The 27,761-nt window shown below is 40.7% G+C and overlaps 1 protein-coding gene and 1 long non-coding RNA gene across 3 annotated transcripts in view; both read right to left on the bottom strand.

The window, feature by feature from the left end:
• SLC35F1 (solute carrier family 35 member F1) overlaps positions 1-27,761 on the bottom strand; it is a 410,408-nt gene that overhangs the window by 210,948 nt on the left and 171,699 nt on the right. The window lies entirely within an intron of this gene.
• LOC105377967 (uncharacterized) lies at positions 11,252-20,821 on the bottom strand. The gene is made up of 3 exons (NR_134601.1): positions 20,682-20,821; positions 12,269-12,350; positions 11,252-11,435 (listed from the first exon to the last, which is right to left on the bottom strand). It is a non-coding gene; the product is annotated as an uncharacterized LOC105377967 (long non-coding RNA).

The raw sequence follows: 27,761 nt of genomic DNA, 5'->3' as shown, positions 1-27,761 counted from the left end.
TTTTATTCTAATCACAATAGAAATGTATTATAGGCTTTTCAACAGAGAGAATGGAAAGTTCTCATTTAAACTTTAAACAGTAGTCTTTTTGTTATGCAAAGATGGATTATAAGAGATCAAAAGAAACAAAATTAAACCAGTAAGACTTATTAGATAGCTACCTTGTAGTACACGTGAGAGAGCTGTAACAGTGAAATGGTGAGGAGTGATCAGATTTAGCTTAGCAGTGGCTGTAGAGCCAACAGGTCTTGCTGATGGAGTACATGGCAGGGTAAGAAAAAGAGAAACAAGGTTGTCTTTGAGGAATTTGTCATAATCAACTGGGTGAATAATGATGCCATCAGGAAAATGAGAAAGCACTGTTGGATGGACATGGGGAGAGAAATAAAGAATTCTCTTGCAGTTGAGGAGTTCTTGTTGAAAGAAAGACATTGAGTATACATGAGAGAGAAAGAATTCATAGTTTAAAAATCTAGAGAAAGCAGAAGGGATGGGATCCAAAGATTAGGAAGAGGGGTCATTATTAGTTATGAGGAGGGTGTGCTCTTCTAGTCTACCAGGAGGTGAGGAGGAGAGGACAGGTACCAGTCATAGGTTTTCAGGCTTCTAACTTTTATATTACCAATACTTAGTTGCAGGCTTGATACCGCATTCCTATGACTACCAATTTGTCTACAAAGTCCAGGGAGGCAGGTACAGAGGGATAACTGAGATTTGAGAAGATTGGCAACACTGAAATATTTATTGTGCAGTCTGGGACAATGAGCTGATTAGAAAAAAGCAGGAAAGTTGCCAAGTAATGTTAAGGGTCCTTTGAAGTTGGTGATCATGAATAAGGTCATCATACTATCTACTTTGATGTATGATCGTGAATAAGGTCATCATACTATCTCCTTTGATGTATGATAGTGGATAAGGTCATCATACTATCTACTTTGATGTATCATTTTCCTTTTTGAGCACTCCACTGGTCAGGAACAGGCACACATTAAGCATAAAAGTGTGAAATGAAAAATTGTTTTATCTGAAGAGTGTGATGAAAATACAGAGATGGAAGGAAATTAGGGGTACTGGCAACAGTCCCATTAGAAAAGAAACCTTGGAATCTGCAATAGATAAGGATGCTATTAAAAAATGCCTGGGCAATGCGTAGAAAGATCAATGAATTGGAGGGAATGATGCAGTAGAAACAAATGTCAAAGAATGACCACGGTGTGAGTGGTGAAGCAAACTAAAATGAGACAAGGTTTCAGACAGAATGTAAGGTGCTTGAATTATTTATTTTGGAGATGGTGGTAACAAGGTCCACCGGGTAGACATAGAGTAGGTCTCTGGTATGGAATATAAAAGATTAAGAAAGAAGAGATAAACAAGTGAAGGATCTAAGGCCCAGGATGTTGAATGCCTGTGTGGACACTGAATCCATCCATTATAACTTTACTTAAGATCGAGATGAGGCTTGTGAACCAATTACCAAAGTCTTCAATGAATGAGCAGGAATGGGAAGTAGACAACAAGCAAGAAGGAGAGGGAGGGATAGTATCTGTGAATGGCATGTTCACTACAGAAGGGGTTGGGTCATAGATGCAACCAAGCAAACAGAGTAACAGATCTACCACCTCACTCTGAGGAACCACAGATGCAAGGTAACACTCAGCTACTTTTTGAGAAGACTAAAAGAAAATGGTGTCTTCAAGAGAAACCCAGATGCAGTACAGGGAAGGCTTTAAGAACAAGCTGTGAAAAGACAGGAGTGAAGGAGCAGCTCTGGAGGGTGCAGTGGAAGGAGTCCAGAAGAGAAGGAACAAGAAGGCTCATGTGTAGGACAAGGTGCTGAGAACATCATGGTCACAGTAGACACCTGAGGGGCTGGACTTGGAGGGAGGGAGTTACTCCATGGGGTTTAGACAGAGAGATGAGAACAAGCAGATTTAGCCTCAAGGTCTTTTTAACTTGCAAGTACACTGGTCCAAATGGTGGGTGGGTGACATTCTCCGGTCCAAAGCATTGCAGCTCCTATCTTCAAGATAACGATGATGAGAGAGTTCAGAATTATGTATCAGTCCTTTATTTACTTTAAAAAATCACATTAGGGGCCACATTATTTCTCCCTTTTTACTTATTTGGTTATGATATAACTTCTGTAGTGGCTGAACTTGAGAAATCCTTAAAATTATCAAGAATAATATTAATAAAACTTACAAAATCTTCTCTAAGTATATAAAGAAAATAGCTAACATTTATTGAGCATTTACTGTGTTTGTCACTGTGCTTTATGTATTATCTGAAATCCATAAGAATCTTATAAGCTCAATATTATTATTTGCATTTCATGGACATTGCAACTAAGAATTAGGGAGGTTAAATAATTTGCTCAGGATCTTGTAGTTAACAAATGGTAAAGCCAAGATTTGGCCCTGTTCAGACTTATTCTAGAATGATATGTTATACAGCCTCTGAACCATGCTGGAAACACAATTTAATCTCTAAGTAGCCCATTGGAGTATTTAAATACAGGTACTTAAAAATGGAAAGAAAGGAAGGAAAAGAGGGAATGTGGGAGAGAGGAAGATAGGGAGGGGAAGGGAAGGAAAGGGAAAGGAAGGGAAGGGAAGGGAAGGGAAGGGGAGGGAAGAAATGAAGGAAGAAGAAAAACCTGGCATATTTCTGAGCTGGCATGCATGTGCTTGCTATTTAAAATGCTACATGGTTATTCTTGTGAAGGAATATGAAGCATTTCAATGTGTTTACTTTTTAAGTGTAAGTTTACTAGAAGCCATCTGCTGATAAAACACAGTAACCTACTGCAAACTCTGAGACTTTTTTTAGATGGCATTATTAGCTAAAAATAACTGCCACAGAACTGAATGACAGAAAACTAAAATGTGAGATCAGAAAAAAAAACATTTCAAGGTTGCCTGAACAATCATCTGGGTTTAGAAAAGCTGCAACAGTAAACGAGGCAAACCCAGATCTATTGGGTCATAATCCACCCTTTCAAAAGTCCGCTCTTTCCTGCAAGGGGGAAGAAAAGGGTGGAGAGTCAAGCCACTCATAGGGCTCTGGCTGGCATTTTCATAGACCAGCAAACACACTCTTGGATTCATTCCGCACCATGTAGCAGCCTCCTACCATTTCTGTGGCAGTGTGTTCGGCAAGTGGATGGAATGTGCCCTGTCAGGCTTCTCAGGCCTGGGCACAGAAGTTGGCGGCCCAGGTGGGCACATCCAGTGGGAGTGGCTGCTCCCCACACTCCACAAACAGACAGAATCAGCCTTCTTCTCAGGCAGACATCAGGGCAGGAGAGCCAAATGGCACTTTGTGTATTAACAAATAATGCTAAGTGACGAGTTAATGGGTGCAGCACATCAACATGGCACATGTATACATATGTAACAAACCTGCACGTTGTGCACATGTACCCTAAAACTTGAAGTATAATAATAATAAAATTTAAAAAAATAAATAAATGTTCTCAGTTGGATCATAGGATCCTCGAAGCAGGAGGTCACTAAGTTGACAGCTCATAAGACAAATTAGCCATCAACTTTTAAGGTTGATGATAATCAACTGCTTGCTTCAATTTTGCATTAGAAATATATGTTCTTGATATTGAACATATTCTTGGGAGGGGGCACCTGCTGTGTTTCAGGAACTATAGAAATGTTGACTTATTTGATCCCAAAACAACTTTGGAAGGTAGACCTGGTGGTTACCCTAATTTTACAGATGGGTAAAGGGAGGCTCAGAGATATGCAATACTTACTCCAGACTATTAAGCACAAAACACGGGTGCAAATCTAGATCTGTGCAGATGCAAAGGTCCCAGTTCTTTCCACTCCACTAGCTTCATGATATCATAGCAGGCTGTCTGAAATAGGCACTTCCTTTACAGCTTTCCTTCAGGATTGAGACCCTTGCCTCTCAAGGAGACAGCCTCCTTCCTGCAAAGCATTGGTTTTGCCTCTAGCTGATGGAAACAGACCTACAAATGGGAGAACTCAGGGAGGAGAGGAGGAATTTAGCCTCAAAGCCCACGGATGAGCTTCTGAGGTGCACAGCAGTGGCTGCTTTCTCTCCATCTGAGGCTGATTTCAGAGCAAAAGCTGCTGTGCCACAACGTGAAACTGTCACTTAGCATCCACAGACATTTTTAATCCCTTGTCATCCAGGGCTGTCACATTAAAATCACAGCTAGTTGCTGTAGCTAGATATGCATCCAGTTTTTTCTTTAAAAAAATGGGGCCAGTCACAGTGGCTTATGCCTATAATCCCAGCCAAGGAGTCCAAGGTGGAAGGATCACTTGAGCCCAGAAGTTCAAGATCAGGTTGGGCAACACAGCAAGAACCTGTCTCTAAAAAAAATTTAAAACTTAGCTGGGTGTGGCGGTGCATGCTTGTAGTCCCAGCTACTCGGGAGGCTGAGGTGGGAAGATTGCTTGATCCCATGAGGTCAAGGCAGCAGTGAGACATGATTGCACCACTGCACTTCAGGCTGGGTAACAGAGTGAGACCCTGTCTATAAATAACTAAATGGAAAAGGAAAAAGTCCTTCCTGTACATTGTTATTGTGTGCCAGTTTATGTTGCTTACATCAGCAGCATTAGACCCGATGAAAGGGGCTCAGCAGTTCAAAGCTGCCATGGCCATCATAAAACTCCAGCTCTCCCAGCCCTGTGGTTAGTGAGTAAAGGAAGCTTGCCACTGAGAAGGCAAAACCAGTCAATCTTGCAAACATCCAGGGTACTCAGACGTATGCCTGGGCCAAATTAAGCATTCTTTCACTTCTTCCTTTGTACTGGAAATCCTGATTAAACTCATATGATTTGAGAGGTTTCAATTTCAGAGAAAAGGGAGCTTGAGTGTAATAGGAAATCCCATGTTTTGAGTAAATTATAAACACAGTATGTAATGCACATATTTTAATAACAGCAAGTCCTTTAAAATAAAAAGCTCCATCCATGCATAGCATGCTTCCCTTCGAGCCCACCCCTTTATTTATACCTCCTTGCTCTTTTCTCATTTGCTTGCTCTTATTTGGAAAGACAAGCATTAATGGCACACAGGCAGATTTTCATGGAAGATTGCTTCTTCTGATGTTTTACCCTCCCCTTCTCCCATCCCACTTCTCATTATTTTTCATTTTAGAAGTCCCTTGGAATTAGAACAGCTCTGTCTCCATCCCTATTATTTGCAAGTACAGTCTTCAGTTCTTAGATATCCATTCTTTTCAGAGGCAGACTTGCTTAACTCAAGCATTTTCTCATTTACATGTGAACCAACCCCAATTCACAAGCACTGTAATTTACATGTTGGGTGTATAAAAGCTTCACAAGGCAGAGTTCTGTGGCCTTCAATTCACACAGCAGATCCTCACTCCCTCCCTGTGGCAAGGACCACATTGTATTTGGTTTGTCTGCCTGTGAACTCCTTGTAAATTACTTTAGGGCGGTTTTCACCAGCAGCCTCCACCATGCAGAGCTCTCTAGCTTCCTCCTAATTTAGACACTCTCTTCCCCAGTGTTACCTTTTCTGACATAGTGCTTGATTATTTGCAGAAATGCCAGGAGAAAATTCTTCCCCTTTCTGTGACAGTGAGACAATTTCCTGGCACAGAAATAGAGCTGCTGACCTAAAAGATGTCATAAAATTCCTATCTGAACAGGCAACTCTGTTTCACTACCTTCCTGCTCTGTGCTTTAGCATAACAAAGAATTTAGTGGACGTTTGTCCCAAGTTCCTGGGAGGTAACCTTTAAACCCTTGGAATTTCCCAAGTGACTGGAGTGCCTTGTTATTCATGGTGGGGCCCTGGACCACAACTAATAATTTATGCTAATGAGGTGACTCAAGATGGGGGCAGGCCACAACAGAAAGACCAACCATGTGACTTGATGGTTGTAGCTTTGTACCACATGATATAGGCCCTGCCATCAGGGAATAGAGTGGGGCTGGAGAGTGAGTTCATTGCCAATGATTCAATCCAGCACGCCTACATTAAGCAACATTAATAAAAACTCTGGACACTGAGGCTCACGTGAGCTGCCCTGGTTGATGATACTCACAGAACACTGTCACACTTTGATACCAGGAGGGTAATGTACGAATGAGGATGACAGAAGCTTCACATTTGAAACCCCCCTAGACTTTGCCAATGTGCCACTTCCTTTGGCTGGTTCTAATGTTGATACTTTTGCTATAATAAAACTGTAATCAAGAATAGCACTTTCCTGAGTTCTGTGAGTGGTTCCAGTGAATTACTGAAGCTAAGGGAGTCCATAGAGCCCCTAAATTGGTAGCCAGCTGGTCTGAAGTTAGGGTAGCCTTGGAGACCTCTCAACTTGAGGCTGGTGTCTGAAGTGAGGACAGTCTTGGAGACTGGGCCTTTAACCTCAAGTTTGGCTAACTATGGGTAGTTTTCTCAGTGGTCTATTTGGTTCAAAACTCAGGGACCATTTTATTGAGGTGTATGAAGAATGCCTGATAAAGGGATAAAAACAAGGCAGTATGGCATGGTGGTTAAAAGCATGCCTAGGCTTTGGCACCAGACTGCCTTGGTCTAAATCCAGCTCCTGTCACTTATAGCTCATGTGACCTAGAGCAAGTTATTCAAACTCTCTATGCTTCAGTTTCTTCACTTATAAAGAGAGTATAATAATAATACCAACCTTATTGGGTTGCTGTGAGGATAAATGCATTATATATGCAAAATGCTCTCAAGGGTTCATAAATGTTATTTATTATACACAAACTAATGCGTTGCTTTTTTATTAAAAAATAACCAAGAAACCAGGAATACCAATGTATTTTATCTCTTCTTTAATATCAAATCACAGCTTTTTGATATTTACTCAAAGGTTGTTTCCACCACTGTTTTTAGAGTACAAGAGAAACAAGGGTGAACACCTATCCAATCTGCCCATGTGTTACAGCGAACCACAGCCACTCACAGAGCATTTTCTCCCAATGCAGGATGCACAAGGTGGAAATCTGTGGAGGCAGATGGCACTGACAGTCTCAATTCATGTCTTACCTGGAATATTCTCTTGGCCACCGGGCTATTTTTAACCTTGGGGTTACTCCCTTCAGCCCCCTTGTTGCTCTGACTCTATTTAGATGAGAGACTGCATGAATGAGCATTTCAGGCTCTGAGAGTCAGTGGTAACCACTGAGTATAGGAATTCTTGGGGGGAACAGGAGGGAGGAGAGAGGGAGGAGAAGGAAGAGAGAGGAGGAGGGGAGGAGGGGAGGAGGAGAAGGAGTGGGGAGAGAGAGAAAGAAAGAGAGAAAGAGAACTTAATGCAAACCATCTCCTGGTTATATACCTTCCATAGCTGACAGCTGTAGCAAGACCTTGCTTTGTAGTAGTTTTCAAAATAAGGTTTCCCAACTAGCAGCATCGACTTACTGGATCAGGAACTTTGGCAGTGGTGTCTAGCAATTTGTTTTCACAGGCCTTCCATATAGGTGATTCTGTTGCTTAAGTTTGAGAACCACTACTCTAGATGATTTTTCACAGCAAGTGAGGTTGCCCTCAAATCAGAAAATCTTGGCCTGACATCATGGCACTGCCACATTCACCACCTTCCTGCTCAAATGTCACAATTCTTTCCAGCCCCTAGGGAATGTGGATCTATCCCATGAGCAAGATCTCTTCTGAATTCCCCTTCATGTAAACACATTTCCTAATGCAACTTTCTCCCTTGGATCTACGGCCCATCCAACACTAACATTCATCATTATATATAAGGTACACCTAGAGGATGTACCTTATAAAATAGGCCAAACACAGTGGTGAGAAAATGAAGGGAACCAGGAAGAGACACCTGAATGGGGACAAGGAACTCCCCTCTGCTTCTCCTCTTCATGTGTGTTACTAATAAAATAAAATATATATAAAAATAAATACGTTAAAAGTCTTATCTTATTTCTTTCACATCAATAGTACCCTTTGTCCAAACATTATACATAAAGTCCACATCTAGTCATCTTACCCAAAGGCACATAATTAAATACATTAGCTTAGTTATCAAATAAGACATACATTGGAGAGAATACAGGCAACAGCAACTTCCCTGGAAAGCCATGCAAGGTGTAAGCTGCACACAAAGAGGGAATTATAAAAAAAGACATAAGACAGGAGCCAAGGAAGATGCAAAAAGTCTTCAGAGGTACAAAGAAAGGGAAACTGATTGAACAACAGTGGGTATCCTCATGGTGGGGTGTTTTTAACTATCTGCACTCCCAGTACACAATGCATGAGACTTAGAAACAGGCTTATTTCTAAGTACCACGTGTCTCAAAATAATTTCTGGCTCAAGGAATTATTGCCACTGGAAGAATGGGATAGTGAAGACAGCACTGGCACTAGCATCAGGAGACACTGATTCTGATGCTAGAGCTACCATTTATGGGTTACGTATTCTGATTTAAGTCTTCAGGACATTCTGTACCCAGGTTGTCTTAATTGTAGGAGGATGGTAATAATTCTTGCCCACTCTACCTCATGAGGTTATTGTGAAAATCAAAAGTAGGCATGTATACAAAAGTGTTTTGCAAACACCTATACAATTGTGAAGTAATGAAATAAGTTCTGTTAACTGATTTGTTCATTGTATCTTCACCTAGAACTGTGCTTGCAAGTAATAGATAATAAATATTTATTGAATGAATCAAAGTACTCTGCTGTTATTTAAGAGTAATAGTATTGTTGTGAATTTTCTATTCATGTTGCATCAGAGCTCAGAGCAGAGGAGATATACAGCCATCGACTTATTTTTAGAAAAAAGACATACTGCTTAAGAAATAAATCTATTTATAATTAGATGTGAGAAAACTAAGGAATACTAAACCACACCTACTCACTTAGTAAGAATGAAAAATTCACTCTAGAATAATTACTAGGCAGCTGGTAATTGTCTTGAATGGTTTTAAGCTCAGTGCTATTTTTAACGGACTAGGATAGTACTTTGTTTAACTGGGACAAAGAATGACCACTGTGGCATTATCAGCTGTTGCGGCTGGTGATGGCAGCAAAATAATTCTCTAAATGAGATTTGTGATTTGAATACAATTTCCTGCATAAAGCAATCTTCATAGAAAAATATCACTCCACCAGAGTCAGCTCTAGCTGTGCCCTCAGATTTCCCATTCATGACAGCTGACATTTAGACCAAAATGGTTTCCATCACCCTCTGGGTCCAACAGTAAACGAGACAGAGATAAATGCACACCCCCAAGTCACAACTGATTGGAAACTTCCTTCAAAATAAGGAGGAAAAAGGCCTTTAATGCTCTGGCTCAGGAAAACTGGAAATGGGGCTGAATTGTTTTAAAAGGAAGGGGCAAACTCTCCTGCCTGGAGCCCCCTTCTCCCTTTGGAAGCAGACATTCATTCATTCATTCATTCACTCAACATTTATTAAGCTATACTGAAGGGAGTATAATGTGGTCTGCATATAGCACAAAAGGAATGTAGAAAGGTATGCGGCCAGAAAGGCAGGTGGAAAGTGAGGTGGGAGTCCAATGAGGGGGAACTTTGTAGGTCGTTTTCAGAATGTGGCCTTATCCTGGGGCAACTGGAAGCAGTTGTGTGAATTCTGAAGAGGGGAATGATAGCTTTGAGTTTTAGAAAGATCACTTGAGCTGAAAAGGGAAAACAGCAAAGGAAAATAAAAGAGGAAGAAGAGAGGCCAGTTAAGAACCAAGAGTGAAAGACTTCTGAGATCCTGAATGGAGGTAAAGAAGATGAAGAAGAGGGAATAGATCCTGCAAATACTAAAGAGATGGAACTGATAGGATTCCATGATCAATTCTGTTTGGAATAAAAAGGAGAGTGAGTCTTTTGCTTGAGCTAAGGCAGGGAATAGGGGCATAGTGGAAAAAGAGCAGCTTTGGGGTAGGAGTGAAACCACAAATAGTAGAATATGTTTCCCATCATGATTCTGTGTTTTTCAGTAATATTGTCTCATGTTGACAGTTACACATTGAATGAATAAATGGTCCAAAAGGAAGGTGAGTGGTGTATCTCCCTTGGCTAACTGAAAGTTTCTCAACAGGAAAGCCCTAGCATGAAGAGAACAAGAGATGAAGTGTGATCTCTGGCAGTCAATCCTTGGGCTTTTGAAAAATAATGAAGGCCCATCTATTGTGCATTTGAAGGGGATTTTACAACAATGCTTGGATGACCAGGAACTGCTCAGTGTGTAGTCAGCCAAAACTGAATACCCAATCGCTAGAAACTCAGCCAAGAGAACTATGATTATTTATTCATCGCCTTTCTGTTCCCAACAAAGATTTGAGATGGCTAAAAGGGTCAGTATGTCTACGAAAATTTTTTTCACAAGTGGCTTTACTCTTTTTAACTCACATTCACTGGATTCTGCTATGCGTTAACTAAAGGAAATGGGAATTCAGCTATCAGGTAAAAATTTCACAGGCCAAGTTGTACCAAGGCTTACCTAAATATATCTGTGTCCATATTCCTCAAATGTATTAGTATTTCCTTATTTGTATTTATTTAATATTAGCTAACTGCAAATTCAGCCCTGAATTAGCAATTCTTTTGATTGAAGGAAAGGGTTGAGATTGGGATCCAAAAAGTTTGGAGAAACAAGGTTTAGCAGGAGTATTCCAATCTTTCATTGATTCAATTTTCTTTTCCCCATTTTGGAGAGAGTATAGAGTCACCATATTATGCCTCTCACATGGCTCACATTCTTAGCTTACTTCTGTCAAAGTAGACTTAGTAAATCAGAGATCCAAGTCTATGGCTTGGCACTCAGTTGGTAATAATGAAGACAAGTCAAAGAACCTTAAACAGAAACACTGAACTGTGTGTGTGACATTCATCCAGTCCACAACTACCTTCCACCACTCCTGGCCTTTCTTTTCTGCTTCCACATTCTCCTTTCTTCCCTAGTTGCTTCTTTCTGACTCCACTTCCATTTGCACACTATTTCAGCTCTCCATCACCAATAATTTCAGGCTCCACTTCTGTTTGAGCCCCTGAGTGCCCTATTGTGTATGTCTGATTTGGTCAAGGAACCTCCATGATGTTCCTTTCCTTTTGATACTGCAGATATCAAAATTTCAGTGCTCACTTTAGGCCACAAGGGCACATTAGGTAATGAGTACCTAATTTCTTCAGTACACGGGCCTATAGAAATTAACTGATTCCTACAGCTGTTTGTCTAATGACAGACTGAAAGAGGACTGAAGGCAAGTTTCTTAAAGAAAAAGGAAAAAAAAATCCTGTCAAGCATGTTGTCTAATTTGAGATGGACAATCACCTGCCTGGTAGGAAATATCATCTGGACTGTACAGATAAAGAACATGAGAATCTGAAAATGGAATGATGTGCCTGAGGTTACACGCCTCCTCCATGTCCTTGTTGGAGTGCCACGGTCTTTTTACTGAGATATTCAATGCTGGCACCTGTTTGGAACAAAGAGCACAAACTAAGACTAATGTTCTGCATCCACTTCAGAACTTCTGTCCCCACCTCTTAACAGAAAGTGATATTGTTAAGTGTAGCCATGACCTTTGTCTTGTCAAATACAATGGCCAATTATCCGCCTTCTCTTTTCTTTTTGAGACAGAGTCCTACTCCATTGCCCAGGCTAGAGTGCAGTGGCACAATCTTGGCTCACTGCAGCCTCCGCCTCCTGGGTTCAAGTGATTCTCCTGCCTCAGCCTCTCGAGTAGCTCGAATCATATGCACACACCATCATGCCTGGCTACTTTTTTTTTTTTTTTTAGACGGAGTCTCGCTCTGTCACCCAGGCTGGACTGCAGTGGCACGATCTCGGCTGACTGCAACCTCCACCTCCTGGGTTCAAGTGACTCTCCTACCTCAGCCTCCCAAGTAGCTGGGATTACAGGAGTGCCTCACCATGCCCAGCTAAATTTTGTATTTTTAGTAGAGACAGGGTTTCACCATGTTGGCCAGGCTGGTCTCGAACTCCTGATCTCAAGTGATCTGCTCACCTCGCCCTCCCAAAGTGCTGGGATTACAGACATGAGCCACCACATGGGGCCTCAGTCCTCCCTCTTCTTACTCATCATCTGGACACCCCTTTCCCCTGGCTTTCAGGACAACACACTCTCCTGGTTTTCTCTGACCTTACTGGATACTCTTCTTCTGCATTCTCTGTAAGTGGAAGAGTCTTAGAATTTGGTCTTTTGACTTCTCTTCTGTCTATTTTATTCTCTTGATGACCTCTTGAGTACTGCCCCATAATCCCACACCATCTTCCTGGAAAACTTACCATCTCTTTCTCTCCTTAAACTTTCAATACTACTTTCTCTGCCTTCCTTATTTGCAGCTGATGACCTTTGCTTCATATTTTCCTGAAAATGGAAGCAATTTTGTGGGCTCTACATCATTTACTTATCACATACTTTACAAACCCACTTCATCTGGTCCCATTATATTCTGTTTTCTCTAATGTTTCAATGGAAGAACATTCTCTCCTATGATCAGTGCCAGCCCTCTATTTGTGCCCTGAGTTCCATCTTCTCTCATTTACTCAAGGACTTTGCTCTTGAAAGTATCCCTGCTCTCTTTCTTTGCATCTCGATTTTCCCCCATATCATTCTCAACAGCATAGAATTATGCTGTAACTGCCACCTTAAAAGCAAAACTGGGATAAAAACCCACCCTGCAAATTATCTCTGATTAACCTCCAGTCCTCTACAGGAACACTTCAAAGATCGGTTTACATGCATCGCTTCAGAACTTTTATTAACCTCTTAACAGGAAGTGCTATTGTCAAACATAGTCATGACCTTTGTCTTGTCAAATATAATGGCCAATTATCAGTCCTCTTCTTACTCATCATCTCAACACTCCCTTCCTCTGGCTTTCAGGACACCACACTGTCTTGGTTTTCTCCGACCTTACTGGATACTCTTCTTCTGCACTCTCTGAAAATGGAGGAGTCTTAGGATTTGGTCCTTTGACTTCTCTTATGTCTATTTCATTCTCTTGGTGTATTTTAGTCCATTCTTATGCTGCTAATAAAGACATACCTGAGACTGGGTAATTTATAAAGAAAAAGGGCTTTAATGGACTCACAGTTCCACATGGCTGGGAAGGCCTCACAATCACAGCAGAAGGCAAAGGAGGAGCCAAGGTATGCCTTACATGGCGGAGGCAAGAGAGCTTGTGTAGCGGAAGTTCCCTTTATAAAACCAATGATCTCATTGAACTTATTCACTATCATGAGAAAAGCATGGGAATAACCTGCCCCCATGATTCAATTATCTCCCATAGGTCCCTCCCAAGATACATGGGAATTATGGGAACTACAATTCAAGGTGAGATTTGGATGGGGACACAGCCAAACCATATTCTACTTCTGACCCATCTCAAATCTCATGTCCTCACATTTATAATTTTTTTTTTTGAGATGGAGTCTCGCTCTGTCACCCAGGCTGGAGTGCAGTGGCGCAATCTCCACTCACTGCAAGCACCGCCTGCTGGGTTCATGCCATTCTACTACCTCAGCTTCCCGAGTAGCTGGGACTACAGGTGCATGTCACCACACCCTGCTAATTTTTGTATTTTTAGTAGAGATGGGGTTTCACCACATTGGCCAGGCTGGTTTCGAACCACTGACCTCATGATCCACCCGCCTCTGCCTCCCAAAGTGCTGGGATTACAGGCATGAGCCACCGTGCCTGGCCATCCTCACATTTCAAAACACAATCATGCCTTTCCAACAGTCTCCCAAAGTCTTAGCACATTCAGGCATTAACCCAAAAGTCCAAGTCTGAAGTCTTATCTGAGACAAGGCAAGTCCTTTCCACCTATGAGCCCGTCAAATCAAAAGCAAGTTAGTTACTTCCTAGATACAATGGGGGCACAGGGATTGCGTAAATACACCTGTTCCAAATGGGAGACATTGGCCAAAACAAAGGGGCTACAGGCCCTATGCAAGTCTGAAATCCAGTAGGGCAGTCATTAATCCTTAAAGTTCCAAAATGACCTCATTTGACTCCATGTCTCACACCCAGGGCACACTGATGCAAGAGGTGGGCTCTCATGGCCTCGGGAAGCTCCACCTCTGTGGCTTTGTAGGGTACAGCCCATGAAATGCTACTTTCATGGGCTGGCATTGAGTGTCTGCAGCTTTTCCAGGTGCATGGTGCAAGCTGTCAGTGGAGGTCTGGAGGATGGCGGCCCTCTTCTCACAGCTCTACTATGCAGTGCCCCAGTGGGGACTCTGTGTGGGGGCTCACACACCACATTTCCCTTTCACATAGCCCTAGCAGAGGTTCTCCATGAGGGCCTTGCCCATGCACCAAACTTCTGTCTGGACATCCAGACATTTCCATACATCCTCTGAAATCTAGGTGGAGGTTGCCAAACCTAAGTTCTTGACTTCTTTATTCCTACAGGCTCAACACCACATGGCCTGGCCCATGAAACCATTTTTCCCTCCTAGGCCTCCAGGCCTGTGATGAGAGGGGCTGGAGGAAACCATTTTTCCTTCCCAGGCTTTCAGACCTGTGATGGGAGGGGCTGCTGCAAAGGTCTCTGACATGCCCTGGAGACATATTTCACACTGTCTTGGTGATTAACATTTGGCTCTTCATTACTTTGGCAAATTTCTGCAGCCAGCTTGAATTTCTCCTCAGAAAACGGTTTTTTCTTTTCTACTGCATCGTCAGGCTGCAAATTTCCAAACTTTTATGCTCTGCTTTCTCTTGAATGCTTCGCCACTTAGAAATTTCTTCTGCCAGATACCCTAAATCATCTCTCTCAAGTTCAAAGTTCCACAGATCTCTAGGGCAGGGTCAAAATGCTGCCAGTCTCTTCGCATAGCAAGAGTGACCTTTACTCCAGTTCCCAACAAGTTCCTCATCTCCATCTGAGACCACCTTAGCCTAGACTTTATTGTCCACAATATTATCAGCATTTTGGTCAAAGGTTTTCAACAAGTCTCTAGGAAGTTCCAAACTTTCCCACATCTTCTTATCTTCTTCTGAGGCCTCCAAACTGTTCCAACCTTTGCCTGTTACAAAGTTCCAAAGTTTCTTCCACATTTTCAGGTATCTTTACAGCAGTGACCCACTACCTGGTACCAACTTACTGTAATAGCTCATTCTTACACTGCTAATAAAGACATACCCAAGACTGGGTAATTTATCAGGAAAAAGATGTTTAATGGACTCACACTTCCACATAACTGAGGAGGCCTCAAAATCATGGTGGAAGGTGAAGGAGGAGCAAAGGCAAGTCTTACATGGCAGCAGGCAAGAAAGTGTGTGCAGGGGAACTGCCCTTCATAAAACCATCAGATCCCATGAGACTTGTTCATTATCACAAGAACAGCATGGGAAAAACCTGTCCCCATGATTCATGATTCAGTTACCTCCAACTGGGTCCCTCCCACAACACACAGGGACTATAAGAACTACAATTTAAGATGTGATTTGGGTGGGGACACAGCCAAATCATATCATTTGGTAACTCATCCAGTAAGCTCTGACAACCCATTAGGCATTGCCACTGAGATATCTAACAGGAATCTCATATTACTAAGTCCAAATATAAGTTTGGAATGCCTGTTTCAACACATCCAAACATGTTCTTCATCTAAGACCCATTTCATTCATTCAGTTAAGATCAATTCACCCAACTGCTTAAAAAGCAAGAACTTATGTGTCATCCGGACATCTTTTATTTCTCTCTCTTTTTCTCATGCCCAAAATCCAATCTACTGACAAGTCCCATCAGCTCCTCCTTCAAACTCTATTCCACTTCTAGCCACATCTGACCAGCACTCCCATTCCCTCTCTGGTCCAAGCCCACCATCTTCTTGTGTCTGGAGAACTTCAATAACATCGTGGTGAGTCTTCCTCCTTCCACTTATGCCCCCCCATTGTCCATTCTCCACATAGCAGTTAGAGTATTTCTTAAAGTATTAATTTGATAGATCTTATTTTTATGTAAAACTTGGTTTGAAACCTCCACTGATTTCTCACAGAGTTAAACTCAATCCTTATGCTCTAGAAAGCAACACTTAGTCTGGATTCTGCCAACCCTTCTCATCATATTTCCTGCCACTCCTCTCCTCCCTCACCAGGCTTCAGCCTCATCTCCTTCTCACTGTTCTTCAACTATGGCAAGCCCATGCTCCCCTCAGAGCCTTTACATAGACAGAATTTTCACTCAAGTATTTATATTGTTGGTTCCATCCTTCTCATCATTGAAGTTGAGGCTTAAATGTCACCTATTTGGAGAGGCCTTTCTTAATATTTCAATTTAAAGTAGTATCTCACCATTTCAGCTTTATTGCTTTGAGAATTTCTATATGTTCTTTATTTATTAGGCTATTGTCTGTTTCCTCCCACCACGACATATGCTCAGTGAGGGTGGGAACTCTGTCTTATTCACCACTACATCCTCATGACAGTTACATGGTAGGCATTCAAAACCCATTTCTAGGACTAAATGACAATACTAGGAAATTTGACTTAGAGCATCCTGGCCAGTTAAACAAGAGTCATCCATGAGCTTCCATATGCCAAAGCTCTTCCAAAATTTATAACCCACCTTGAGGTGTTAAAATATGCTAGCAGTTGCCCTAGAGAGATTCTTCAGTCCCTGCCAGAATTTTTATAATTATCTTGACATCTTTGAGTTCTAAACACCCATTCTTACTCAGTCTCAGAATTAGTTTATATTGCTCAAAGGCATGCAGAATCTAGACAGATTTTAAGGCATTCCAACTGATCAATCTGTTTCCAAGACATTACCAGCTGCTGTTTTAATCATTTATGGGACCATTATAGCTTTTCGGCTTTGAGTCAAGAATTAAGGCATTGTGTTTTGTTTCATGAAATTGGCTTATGGAAGAAAGACTTTCATTCCAGTTTTGCAAAGTCAAATTGGAGGCTGATGATTATCTGGGGACTGCTATTAACATGAAGCCCTGTCATCCACAAATGTCCCCAAGATCCAAAGTCATGGTGAAAGAGATGACATTTGCTGACAATAAAGGCATGAAAATAGATCCACAACTCTTCCAAGGGTCTGTCTTTGAGCCAGTACTATTGCAAAAAATAGGTTAGGTAGCAGTTTGAGGCCTCTTTGTGTGTGTTGTTGATTTTGTTTTTTAGCTTGGAGAATCTGCATTCATTAGTTTACCATTAGTTGTTAATGCCACCCTCTCCTCCTGAGAGTGTATCATAAAAAATGAGCAAAAGGAAATAGAAATTAATAGTATTATGTTATGGTAGGAAAAGACTTTGGAAGTAATGAGTATCTAATTCCTTTAGCAAAAGGCTCATAGATGCTGAATGACTTGTTGGAACTCCCAGCCCCAGTTCTTTTGTTTCTTTTAGGTTTTGGGCATACGTAAGGATGAACCTTCTCATGGCTGCTCTATGGGGCTCCAAGTATGTATAAAATATAAAATCCCCAGTTAGTATCTATAGTGAGACTCCTCAAAACAAAACTCTTCAAGTTCTCCCTCACCATTCTGGCCCTCATCCTGAGTCTTCCGCATATTAGTAAATTATAAAAATGGTTATCAAACGCTCATGCCAGAGTTCTAGGGTCCTCTCTCTTTCCCACACCTCTTGTATCCAACCCATCAGCAGATCCATCAATTCTATCTCCACGGCCATTACCTTGTTCTAGGCACCATGATTTCTTTCTGGGTTTCTGCAACAGCTTCTTAAATGTGGTTTAAGATTTAAAACACATTTGGACCCCCAACTGTGCAATGTGTAGTAGATCTATCTCTCCTTAATTCCCACAGCTGCTGCTAGTCCACAGGGTGTCCTTACTTAAGTTACCAAAAAAAGTGCCTTCTGTGGGTGAATCCAGTCCTTCAATGCAGAGCTTGATGAATGTAGAAGTGTCTTTATGCTAATTAGGAAAAACCCTCCTTTTCTCCGCTTCCTCTGGGCTAACACATCTTTATGCAATGATGCATGGCATGATAAGACTTGATCAGTCTGGTGTCAGTTCCATCACCCCTATGGCTGAATGCCCTTGTTTAATGTAAACTTGCACAACCAAACACAGTAGCCTTGCTTTCTCACCCCTCACACCTTCTACTGCCACCTTACTCTGTTTTAAGACGTCCTATTTATTTTGAATATAAGATTCATTACAAGTGGTGCTTATTAAATATTTTTATATGAAAGAAGAGTGAATGAATGTTCAACATCCACTCTGTGGATGAGGTAAAAGGAGGAAAAAGGCTGAGAGATACCCTAAAAGGAAAGCTGCCTATTTACTAGACTCAATAATTCTTTCAAATGGGCTATTTCCCAAGAAACTACTTTTGTGGCCATGGTCAGATGGCAACCCTGCATACCTGATGTGAGAGCAACCCTGTGACCCACATTGAATTACCTCTGTTTACTACACAGTGCCAGGGATGGAAATACTTACAAATTGTAGCCTCTCTTCACCAAGGAACTACATTTTAAAATAAGGATCTAGAATCATGTATAAAAGGATACTTCACCATAAATAAATGTGAAATTAGTGCTAGGAATAAATAGTTCTTTGTGTGAGATCACCACGAAAAATATATAAAAAGATACGCAGTTTAATTATGGTAAATACTTTAAGTAACTATTAAAGTAACCATTAAAAGTAACTATTAAAGTAACTCAGTGATTATATTAACCATATCAATGATTTGTCATGGAGTACTTCTAAGAATATGTGTAACTATAAAATGCAATTTAAGTGTTTATTGCTTTGATTGCTATTCTAAATCTATAAGAAGATTCAAACCAATTCAGTATTTCTTGAGCAGTTTCTGGGTCCAAACCAAGTATTTAGTGCTTTAGGGCAATTAAAGATAAACATGATAACAAAATGTTTCTAAAGGTGCTCACTATCTTACATGAGCAAGAAGGTCTAGCTAAATAACATTAGCATAATAGAAACATTAAATAAACGTAAATGTTCTTATATAGACAGAGTACTATGGCAGCACAGACCAGGAAAACAGTAGGTGGTATCTGAGTTGAGCTTTTTGGATGAGTAGGATTTTGATAGAAGTTGTTGGGCAAAGACATGGAAGGCATGCACTCAGGCTGCTTTTTGGAGAGGTAGGCAGAGGAGGGTCCAGTGAATTCTGTCTTGGAACATTGGGCTGAGCCTAGCAAGAGCACATCAGCAGAGACAATCATAATGACTTGCTGATAATTCTTCTCTAAAAGGTAAAGAGGCTAAACAAACAACAAAAACCACTCCACAAATGTGACTGTGACTCTAATTCTGACTTTTGCTACCAGCTGCTAAAGAGGTAAGGGGCCTGTTATGGGCTAAATTGTGATCTCCTCAAAACGAATATGTTGAAGTCCTAGCCCCCCAGTACCTCAGAATGTGACTATACTTGGAGCTAGCATCTTTAAGGAGGTAATTTAGTTAAAATGAGTTCTTTAGTCTAGGCTCTAATCCAATATGACGGGTGTCCTCATAAGAGGAAATCAACACAATCAGTGACAGAGAGGGATGATGTGAAGACACAAGGAGAAGATGGTCATCTACTAGCCAAGGAGAGGCCTCTAAAGAAACCAATCCTGCTGACACCTGGATCTAGAACTTCTACCCTCCAGAACTGTGAGAAAATAAATTTCTGTTGGTTAAGCCACCTAGTCTGTGGCATGCTGTTAGGGCAGCATAACAAGGCAATACAGGGCCCCAGCACCTTAGGGTCCCGGGGGACTGGGGAACAAAGAACACAGTCAGACATGTAGACCAAACATGTAGATCAGGCTTTACAGATATGCTTTTAAAGATAGCAGAGATGTCAGAATAAAGGCAGGCATGATACACTTTCTAAGACTAAATGATTCCAGTGAACCTGACAAGGAAGAAAGGAAGGAGGTTCCAAAGGAGCTGCATGGGCAAGCCTCCCAGTGAGCCTGTATTTTAAAGGACAAGTACAAAATGAGGAGAGAAGGACAGACAATGAAGGAAAAGCATCTGACAGAAATTAACGAGTCAGAAACCTCAGTAAGAGGAAAGACCACGGTGAACCAAGGCTTCTAAAAATTATGGGGGTCAACAATAAGAGCATCCTAAATTAGAGCTGGTAGCCAAAGAACAAAGGAGGCTGGAGGTGGGGCTGCAAAGACATTCTAATGTTCCCAAACAGTAGCTGCAAGTAAAACCTTTCATTCCTCTTCTGCCTCAGTTTTTTGTTGTGAGAAAGAGATATGGATTGAAGAACCAGGAATGAGTCTTGCTAAGAGGGAATTGACATTTGAGGGAGGTGAAGGATAACAAAAGAGAGCACATGGCTGCTCTGAGTGAGTTCAAGTATCCTAACCTCGATAAATCACATCTTGAGGTAACTGCAGAACTTGCAAATGAGCAGCAGAACTGCTGACACTGACCTTTGAGAAAGCACAGAAAGTGGAAGAGGTAGACAATACAGAAGACAGGCACAGCCTGGCCTAATTTTCACCAAAAGGAAGAAAGAAAAGCCTACAAACTATAAAATGGACAGTTCGACAGCAATTGCAGGGACTAGTCTCCAATGGGTGAATTGTGAGAATTTAAGAAAGGGAAATTTATTTTTTTTACATTGGAGAAAACTTTAATCATAATAAAAAGGAAAATATTTGTCATTTGTGCCTGAAAAAAAATAAATACACCAAGTAGCATTTTCTTGCATGTCTGAACATTCTTTTTCCTACCTGTAGGAAGTGTTGGAGAATTTTTAAACCTTTCTTCTCTGGCTTTATTTGGAGTTTCATCAGTGACTCCTTGAACTTTCATATTTTTCATGAACTCAAGAAGGGGGAAATTTGATCATCAGAAGTCAGCATAGAACCACTATGAAAAAATACATAGAACTGTAAAATTTCAGGACTGGACAGGTCCTTCAGGATAATTTAGGCCCCAAATCCATCCATCAAATGCTTAAATTTCCACAAGTTTGTAACTCAACTTATGTTTGAACTCCTCCACGGTGAGAAACTTCCTACTTTTCAAGGCAGGTCATTCACATAATCATAATTAATTTATCTAGGGCAAGCTGTAAAATCCGTGATTAATATTTGGCATGACATATCTTAAAGACAAGATAGAAAACTGTAGTCTGGTGGTGGTACATGTCTATAACCCCAGCTATTCAGGAGGCTGAGGCTAGAGGTGAAGGTTGCAGTGAGCCAAGATCACACCACTGAACTCCAGCCTGGGAGACAGAGTGAGGCTCTACCTCAAAAAAAAAAAAAAAAAAAAAAAAAAAAGGAAAGAAAGAAAAAAAAAGAGAAAACTATAGGCTGGATGATTACACAATTAGCAAAATCTGTAACTAGTTGACATAGGCTTTGCGCAAAGGACATTACTAATGAATTTGTGAGAAGGATGTTATTTTAGTTTGCACCAGGAAAATCCAAGGGGATTTGGTCCAAGCTAGAGCTGACAGGCCCTAACTATATCAGAACCAGCTGTTAGCCCTGAAAGTGGACCACACTAGCAACAGCCTTGTTGAGGAGACTCCTAGACAAGAGGAAGCCTCCTCCAAGGGGGAACCAATTCCTTAGGACCCTTTTGACGTGGACCCAAATTCTAGGAGAGTCTTGGCAGCTCCTGCATAGAAGAGAGTTGGTGGGGTGACACAATGTGATGGCAGTAAGGAACATACTATCCCGTTCTAACTGCTTGGCCCAGTCTCTGCTCCAGACACAGACCCCCACCACCCAGGCTACCTACAACCGGAAGAGGGGATGGTTAAACAAATCAAAGAATAAGGATAATTAATCAGTGCCTTTCAGTTAATGTGATATTGGCTGAGGGCAGGGAAAGGCATAAGTCTGTCAAGGCTACCCACAGAACCAGGGACAGAAGTGATAAGACCTTGAAAGCCCCCACCAGACAGGTTGCTGAGTTTCCTGGTCCCAGGGAATCATCTCAGAGCAAGTACTGACAGCTGGGGAAAGGAGCAAGGGTCCCCATTTCCCCAGCACCCTGTCCACCTCCGACCCCTGCCCTAAATCTCTCCTGATAACCTGCCAGTCCTTTCAATGACTTCTACATTCAGCATACCCTCATTGCTTGAGCCAGAATTAGGATCACCTACCTTTGAAACCCCCTAGTTTGGATGAATATTAGTACTTTAGTATTGCTTTGAAGCACACCACATACTGTACCTTCTAGTAGGTATTTTTGTTCCTGCCTCATCTCCCCCACTAGAAGGTAAAGCATTTGTAGGCAAATAATGTGTTGAAATTATTCTGTATCTCTTTGAACACATTAGCATATAAGTGGAGATGAGAAAAGTTCAGAGAACAGCCTTGTATCGTTTAGAAACATCTAGAAATGTCTGAGTGTGCATGTGGAAAATTACAGGCAAAATAAGAATCAACATCTATTCTTTTAAAATATCCATTCCAATTTGATATGAAAGACAATCGGATTGGGCAATACACATAATTATAATTTGTATCGTTTTATCTCCTTCACTTAAATTTAACAAGTTTAAACTTAAAAAAAACTTAATAAAGTCATGGGACTTTATAAAGTTAGGAAGAGAAGAAGAAAGGAAAGTACCTAAGGATCAAGGATCTGGGCTTTGGAGCCAGACTGGGCTAAAATCCCAGAGCAAGGACTTATTAGCCATGTGACCCTGGGCAAGTCACTTAAACTAAAACTCAGCTTCTTCTTATGCAAAATCGGGAAATTAAAACTTCTATCTCATCTGGCTGTTATGAGAATTAAACAAAATACACATGTAAAGGGCTTACAATCTGTCACACAACTAATTCTAAAGTGTTACTGCTAAGTGTCCGTGTATAAAGAGACAGCAGAGTGGCCAAGGCTTAGAATGTCATTCAATAACCTCAGAATAAATGGTGAAATCATGACAATAGCACAGACAGTTTGCATTTGTGAAGCTGAGAAAAGTCTTTCATAATTTGAAGTGGCAACAATGAACTCCTTTAAATGATACTAATTACTGATAGCTAAAGGGCAAATTATTGTTCATCTGTATCTGGAAGCCAAACTTTAGTTATAACATGTATTGCCAAATACCAATCACGATCCACCACAAAACATTCTTGAAGGGCACCTCATCCAACAGAGAACAAAGTACTAAATTATTTTTTGACCTTGACTTCATAATAGTGACATGAGAGCATCACTGGATTTAGTAAAAAAGGATTCCTTTAATTATTTGCTTTTAATATCTGTGAGGGAAGTACTTTAGAGATGATTTTAATGAATTTTGAATGACAAATTTTGTACCTTAACATTTCCTCATTTCTTTTCTTATAAGCACCACTAAACAGGTTTTGGGAAGCTGTGGGTGGCTTGAATTCAAGGACGTATTCTCAGTACAGGAACATATTTGCATACAAATATATTGGGATAGCATAATCCTTATTACTTTACCACTTAGGTCAGCCCACTTATCTTGGAAAAGTTTATAAAATGCCTTTTTTAGTATCTGTCCAAACATTTGTTTACTTCATCAATTCAGTTTGGTAATATTAAATGAAGTAAAATTTAGTTTCCATTTCAGTCACATATCCTTCCCAATGGGCCATTAGAAACACACAGCCAGATAAGAAACTTATTCTCCTTGATCCAGAAGTGCCTAGTGTGTGACTCCCCACAGATTACAAAGTTTAATCAACACTAGAATTTTGGGCAGACAAAGCAAAATCATTCAATTTGTTTTTTAGATAACAGCTGTTGTTTTTCTCTGCCTAGCAGTTTTTTCCCCATTCCCCCTTTGAGGAGCCACTCTTCTCTCCCCTCAGTGGTCCTGGTGGGTATGCTGGGGGCGGGGGTGAGTGTCATCCAGGCTGACTATTCAGAGTCTTCCTTCTCCAGGCCATTGTGACAACTTCAGGGATGAGCAGGTGATTCAGGCAAGGCCAATCAAAGCTTTCCCTGAGATTTGGACTATGCAAAAGATAGGGACCCATTTCTTTGGATTTGCTTAAGGGAATAGGCTTGGGACTGTCAGTAGCCATCTTTTTTTCTTGCCATTTGGAGAAAACTTGCTTGAGAATAAAGCCAACACAAAGAGAAAAACAGCTGAAAGACAAGGAGAGAAAGCTCTGCCATTTTTCTTGGGTTTCTGGATCCAGCTATCCCAGAAGGCTCAACTTTTGGTGGTCTTCTCCTTTATGAAAAAAAAAAAAATCCCTTCTTTGTTTGTTAGAGTTGAGTTTATGTTACTTGTAACTAAAAGAAGCCTGATCACAAAGCTTTAAGGAAAAGACAGACATTACTGTTCATTCAATATTCAATGTTTCTTTCATTTCGTAAGTTCTCCTCTCCTATCAGTGATAAACTCCAGGCCTGTTTGTTCCATAACTTTCTAAAATTATTCTCTGAGCTCTTCAAATTCCAGTCATTCTGTCACTAGTTATCAGTATCTTATAATAAGTATATACACATATTTTAAGTCAAGACATCTTTTTGGGGCATCTTTAAAACTAAACTTTGTTCTTATCTGTAAACAATCATTTAGATCAGTGTTTCACCTGGGACTGAGTTATAAACTAGAATCACCTACTTGGTTTTTTAAAGAATCGTAATTGCCTAGACCCTAATCTCAATGAGCCATCTGTAATGTTCAAAGGTTGAGGCTCCAATCTGTATTTTTAAAAGCTATGTAAGCATTTCATATGCAGTCTTGTGGTTTAGAAATTATCTGTTTTAGACAAATATCTTCTTTAAAGAAAGAAAATGGATTAAGCTGATCATCAGAATCTTTAAAAACATAGGTTATTGATACAGATTAACGGAAATTTTCATTCCTTGGGTCTTTAAAAGTTTTTATGGCTCCCCAGGTGATTCTGATGACCATTCAGGTGTGAGAACTACTGGAGTAAATCATGGGCCAAGTCACCCTCAGTGAATCTATGTTCACAGCCATTCTGCAGACTCACAGCAAAGAACCTTTAAAAATGTAAACTTGGGCTGGGAATTCATGAAATTTAGAAGGCTTGGTACTGATCAGCATTTTTACTTGCACAGTGACATGTACTGAGCACATCACTCTGAAAGAATGGGCCAGATTATACCATTTGCAGAAAAAGAACAGATGAGGTTGTATCTGGTGGTTTTTGTTTGTTTGTTTGTTTGAAAACAGGGTCTTGCTCTGTCACCCAGGCTGGAGTACAGTGGCACAATCACAGCTTACTGCAGCCTCAAACTGCTGGGCTCAAGGGACCCTCTTGCCTCAGCCTCTTGAGTAGCTGGGACTACAGGTGCATGCCACCATGCCTAGCTATTTTTTTTTAAAATTTTTTGTAGCAATGGAGTCTCACCATGTTGCCCAGGCTGGTCCCAAACTTCTGGTCTCAAGCAATCCTCCCATCTCAGCCTCCCACAGTGTTAGGATTACAGGTGTGAGACATCATGCCTGGCATGATCAGGTTGTTTTAAAGGAAACAGAGTGAAAAGGTGTAAGGATTCACAGCTATTTAATTTCATCATTCTGGTCTTTTTTCTGTGAGCATTTTTGTATGTGTGAAACTGTCATTTAACATCTCTATAAGGTTTGTCCCAAATATAAAATACTATTTGCATGAGGAATTGTTCTATCATTGAAAACCTCAATGAACAACCCTGGATCAAACAGGGGTAAAAGAGAAAAAGAGAAGAGAGGATTAAAGGGAAGATTTAATGTGACGCTCTGAGCTTCTGAAATTAGCCATAATGAAGAGATGGAGCAGAGGACCCTGGCTAACCCACTTCTGAGGTTTAGACAAGGGTTCTCCCTTGAAAGTAAAGGGACCAATATACACAATATATTACACAATAAAGGGGTGAGAGGGGCTGGCAGTTAGTATTTTCAGGTCAACACCAGTGGAAAAAAGTAGGCTGCTGATTTCTTCATTAGCTTTTTCTCTTTACACCGACTGTTAACAGCTTTTTCTGCCTTACTCTCTGAGCTGAAGACATTGGAAATGCTGCACAGGATAACTCCTTGTTTCCCTGCAAGGAGATGATGCATTTTAGCTCTGTAGCCACTAGGAGTCCAAGCACAGTAAGGACTCCCACTATCTTCCCAATCACTATTTCAATCAAACGAGAAGAGCCCCTGCATAAGCTACAAGCACTTTCATTTTATTCCAAACCTGGCTTAGCCTCTAATAGCTCAATTAAGGTCACAGCAAAGCCATCAGAAATCAATAATCACACAGAATAGTAGTCTGAACTTTTGCAGTTCTTTTTTACTATGCAGCCAATTTATCATTCTTTACCTTTATCGTACTATTTTAAGACAGGGATCAAAGCTTTAGCCATGATGTGTTCTGACATGACAATACTCATCATATCTGAAAAGAGACCCTACATATGCATATACTAATAGAAGGACACTGAAAATCTCTCTCCAGAACCCATCAAGCCAAATGTGATCCCACTAATCCTCCACAGCAGTGTGGTTTTACCAAAATCAGAGCTGCAGTAGTGGGATATGGGATGAAAGCAAAAAAAGAGAAGCTGACCAGAAATTGGCCAAATAAGTGATATTGCTAATGCAATGGGGATAGTAGTTTTGACATATTACTTTGATATATTTTTTCTTCCCTGCAGTTCCCCACTTACTGAATTGATGAAACTATTACTTCAGGAGCTGGTAGGTACCATTCAGAAAGAAAGAAGTTGGAGCTCAGCTTTGAGGCTCAAGCTAAATTTTTTTAATGTTCAGTGAGGTAACAGTTTTGAAAGCCTGACTTTGTTGAAAATAAGAGGCTTTCTAAATTCCTAGTCCCCTTGAACAGTAAAAGCAAAGTTTGGAGATATGGACATGCTTTTCTACATGCCTTAACATAGAAAGTAAGAGAATATGATGCAGGAAAAATTTTTGACAAGAAGGAGACATAGAAAGTCCTGTGTACTAGACAAAGGAGAGAGGATGTGAGGGTCAAGCGGTCAGAGGTGTCTCAGCTCATCCCTCTCAGGACAGAAACCTCAAACCAGAGAGGTTAGGGGGAATAACAGAACAGGGGAAGTTTTTCATTTGTCCACAGAACAGCTTGGCAATATTTAAGTACCCATATTCAACCAGCACCAGGACACATGAGAGAAGACTGAGGAAAATGTCCGTACCAGCATATTTGAGGGCAGCCTCAAAGCATCCTGCCCACTTCAGTCACGTATGGAGTAAGCAGTCACAAGTTCTTAGGTCTCTAAAGGGTGTAAAAAGTTGATAGATATAAAGTGAGCCCCTATCCAGCAATTCCAGTTCTATGTATATGCCCAAAAGAATTGAAAGCAGGGACTCAAGCAGATAATTGTGCACCTATATTCACAGCAGCAATATTCACAAGAGCCAAAAATATGAAAGTAACCTGGCTCCACTGGCAGATGAACAAATAAAATACATACAATATAATAATATTCCATAATAAAAAGGAATGAAATTGATACATGCTATACAGATGAGTTTTGAAGACATTATGCTAAGTAAAATGAACAGACACAAAAGGAAAGATTTGATATGATTCCATTTATAGAAGGTATCTGGAGAAGTAGAGTAGAGACTACCAAGAGCTGAGAGGAAGGGAAAATGAAGAGTTATTGCTTAATATTTACAGAGTTTCTGTTTAGGATGGTGATAAAATTCTGGAAATGAACAGTGGTGATAGTTACATAACATTTGACTGTATTTAATGACATTGAATTGTACACACACAAAAAAATTGTATACAAAAAATCTTAAATTTTATGTTACATATATTTACCACAATACATTTTTTTAAGTGGACCCCTAGTGGCCTGACAAAAGGACCAGCAGGCTACACGGT

Source organism: Homo sapiens, chromosome 6, assembly GCF_000001405.40.
Source record: "Homo sapiens chromosome 6, GRCh38.p14 Primary Assembly".
In the NCBI taxonomy this organism is placed as follows: domain Eukaryota; kingdom Metazoa; phylum Chordata; class Mammalia; order Primates; family Hominidae; genus Homo; species Homo sapiens.
The sequence above is the reverse complement of the archived record's forward strand: the minus strand, read 5'-3'. Positions and strand labels throughout refer to the sequence as shown.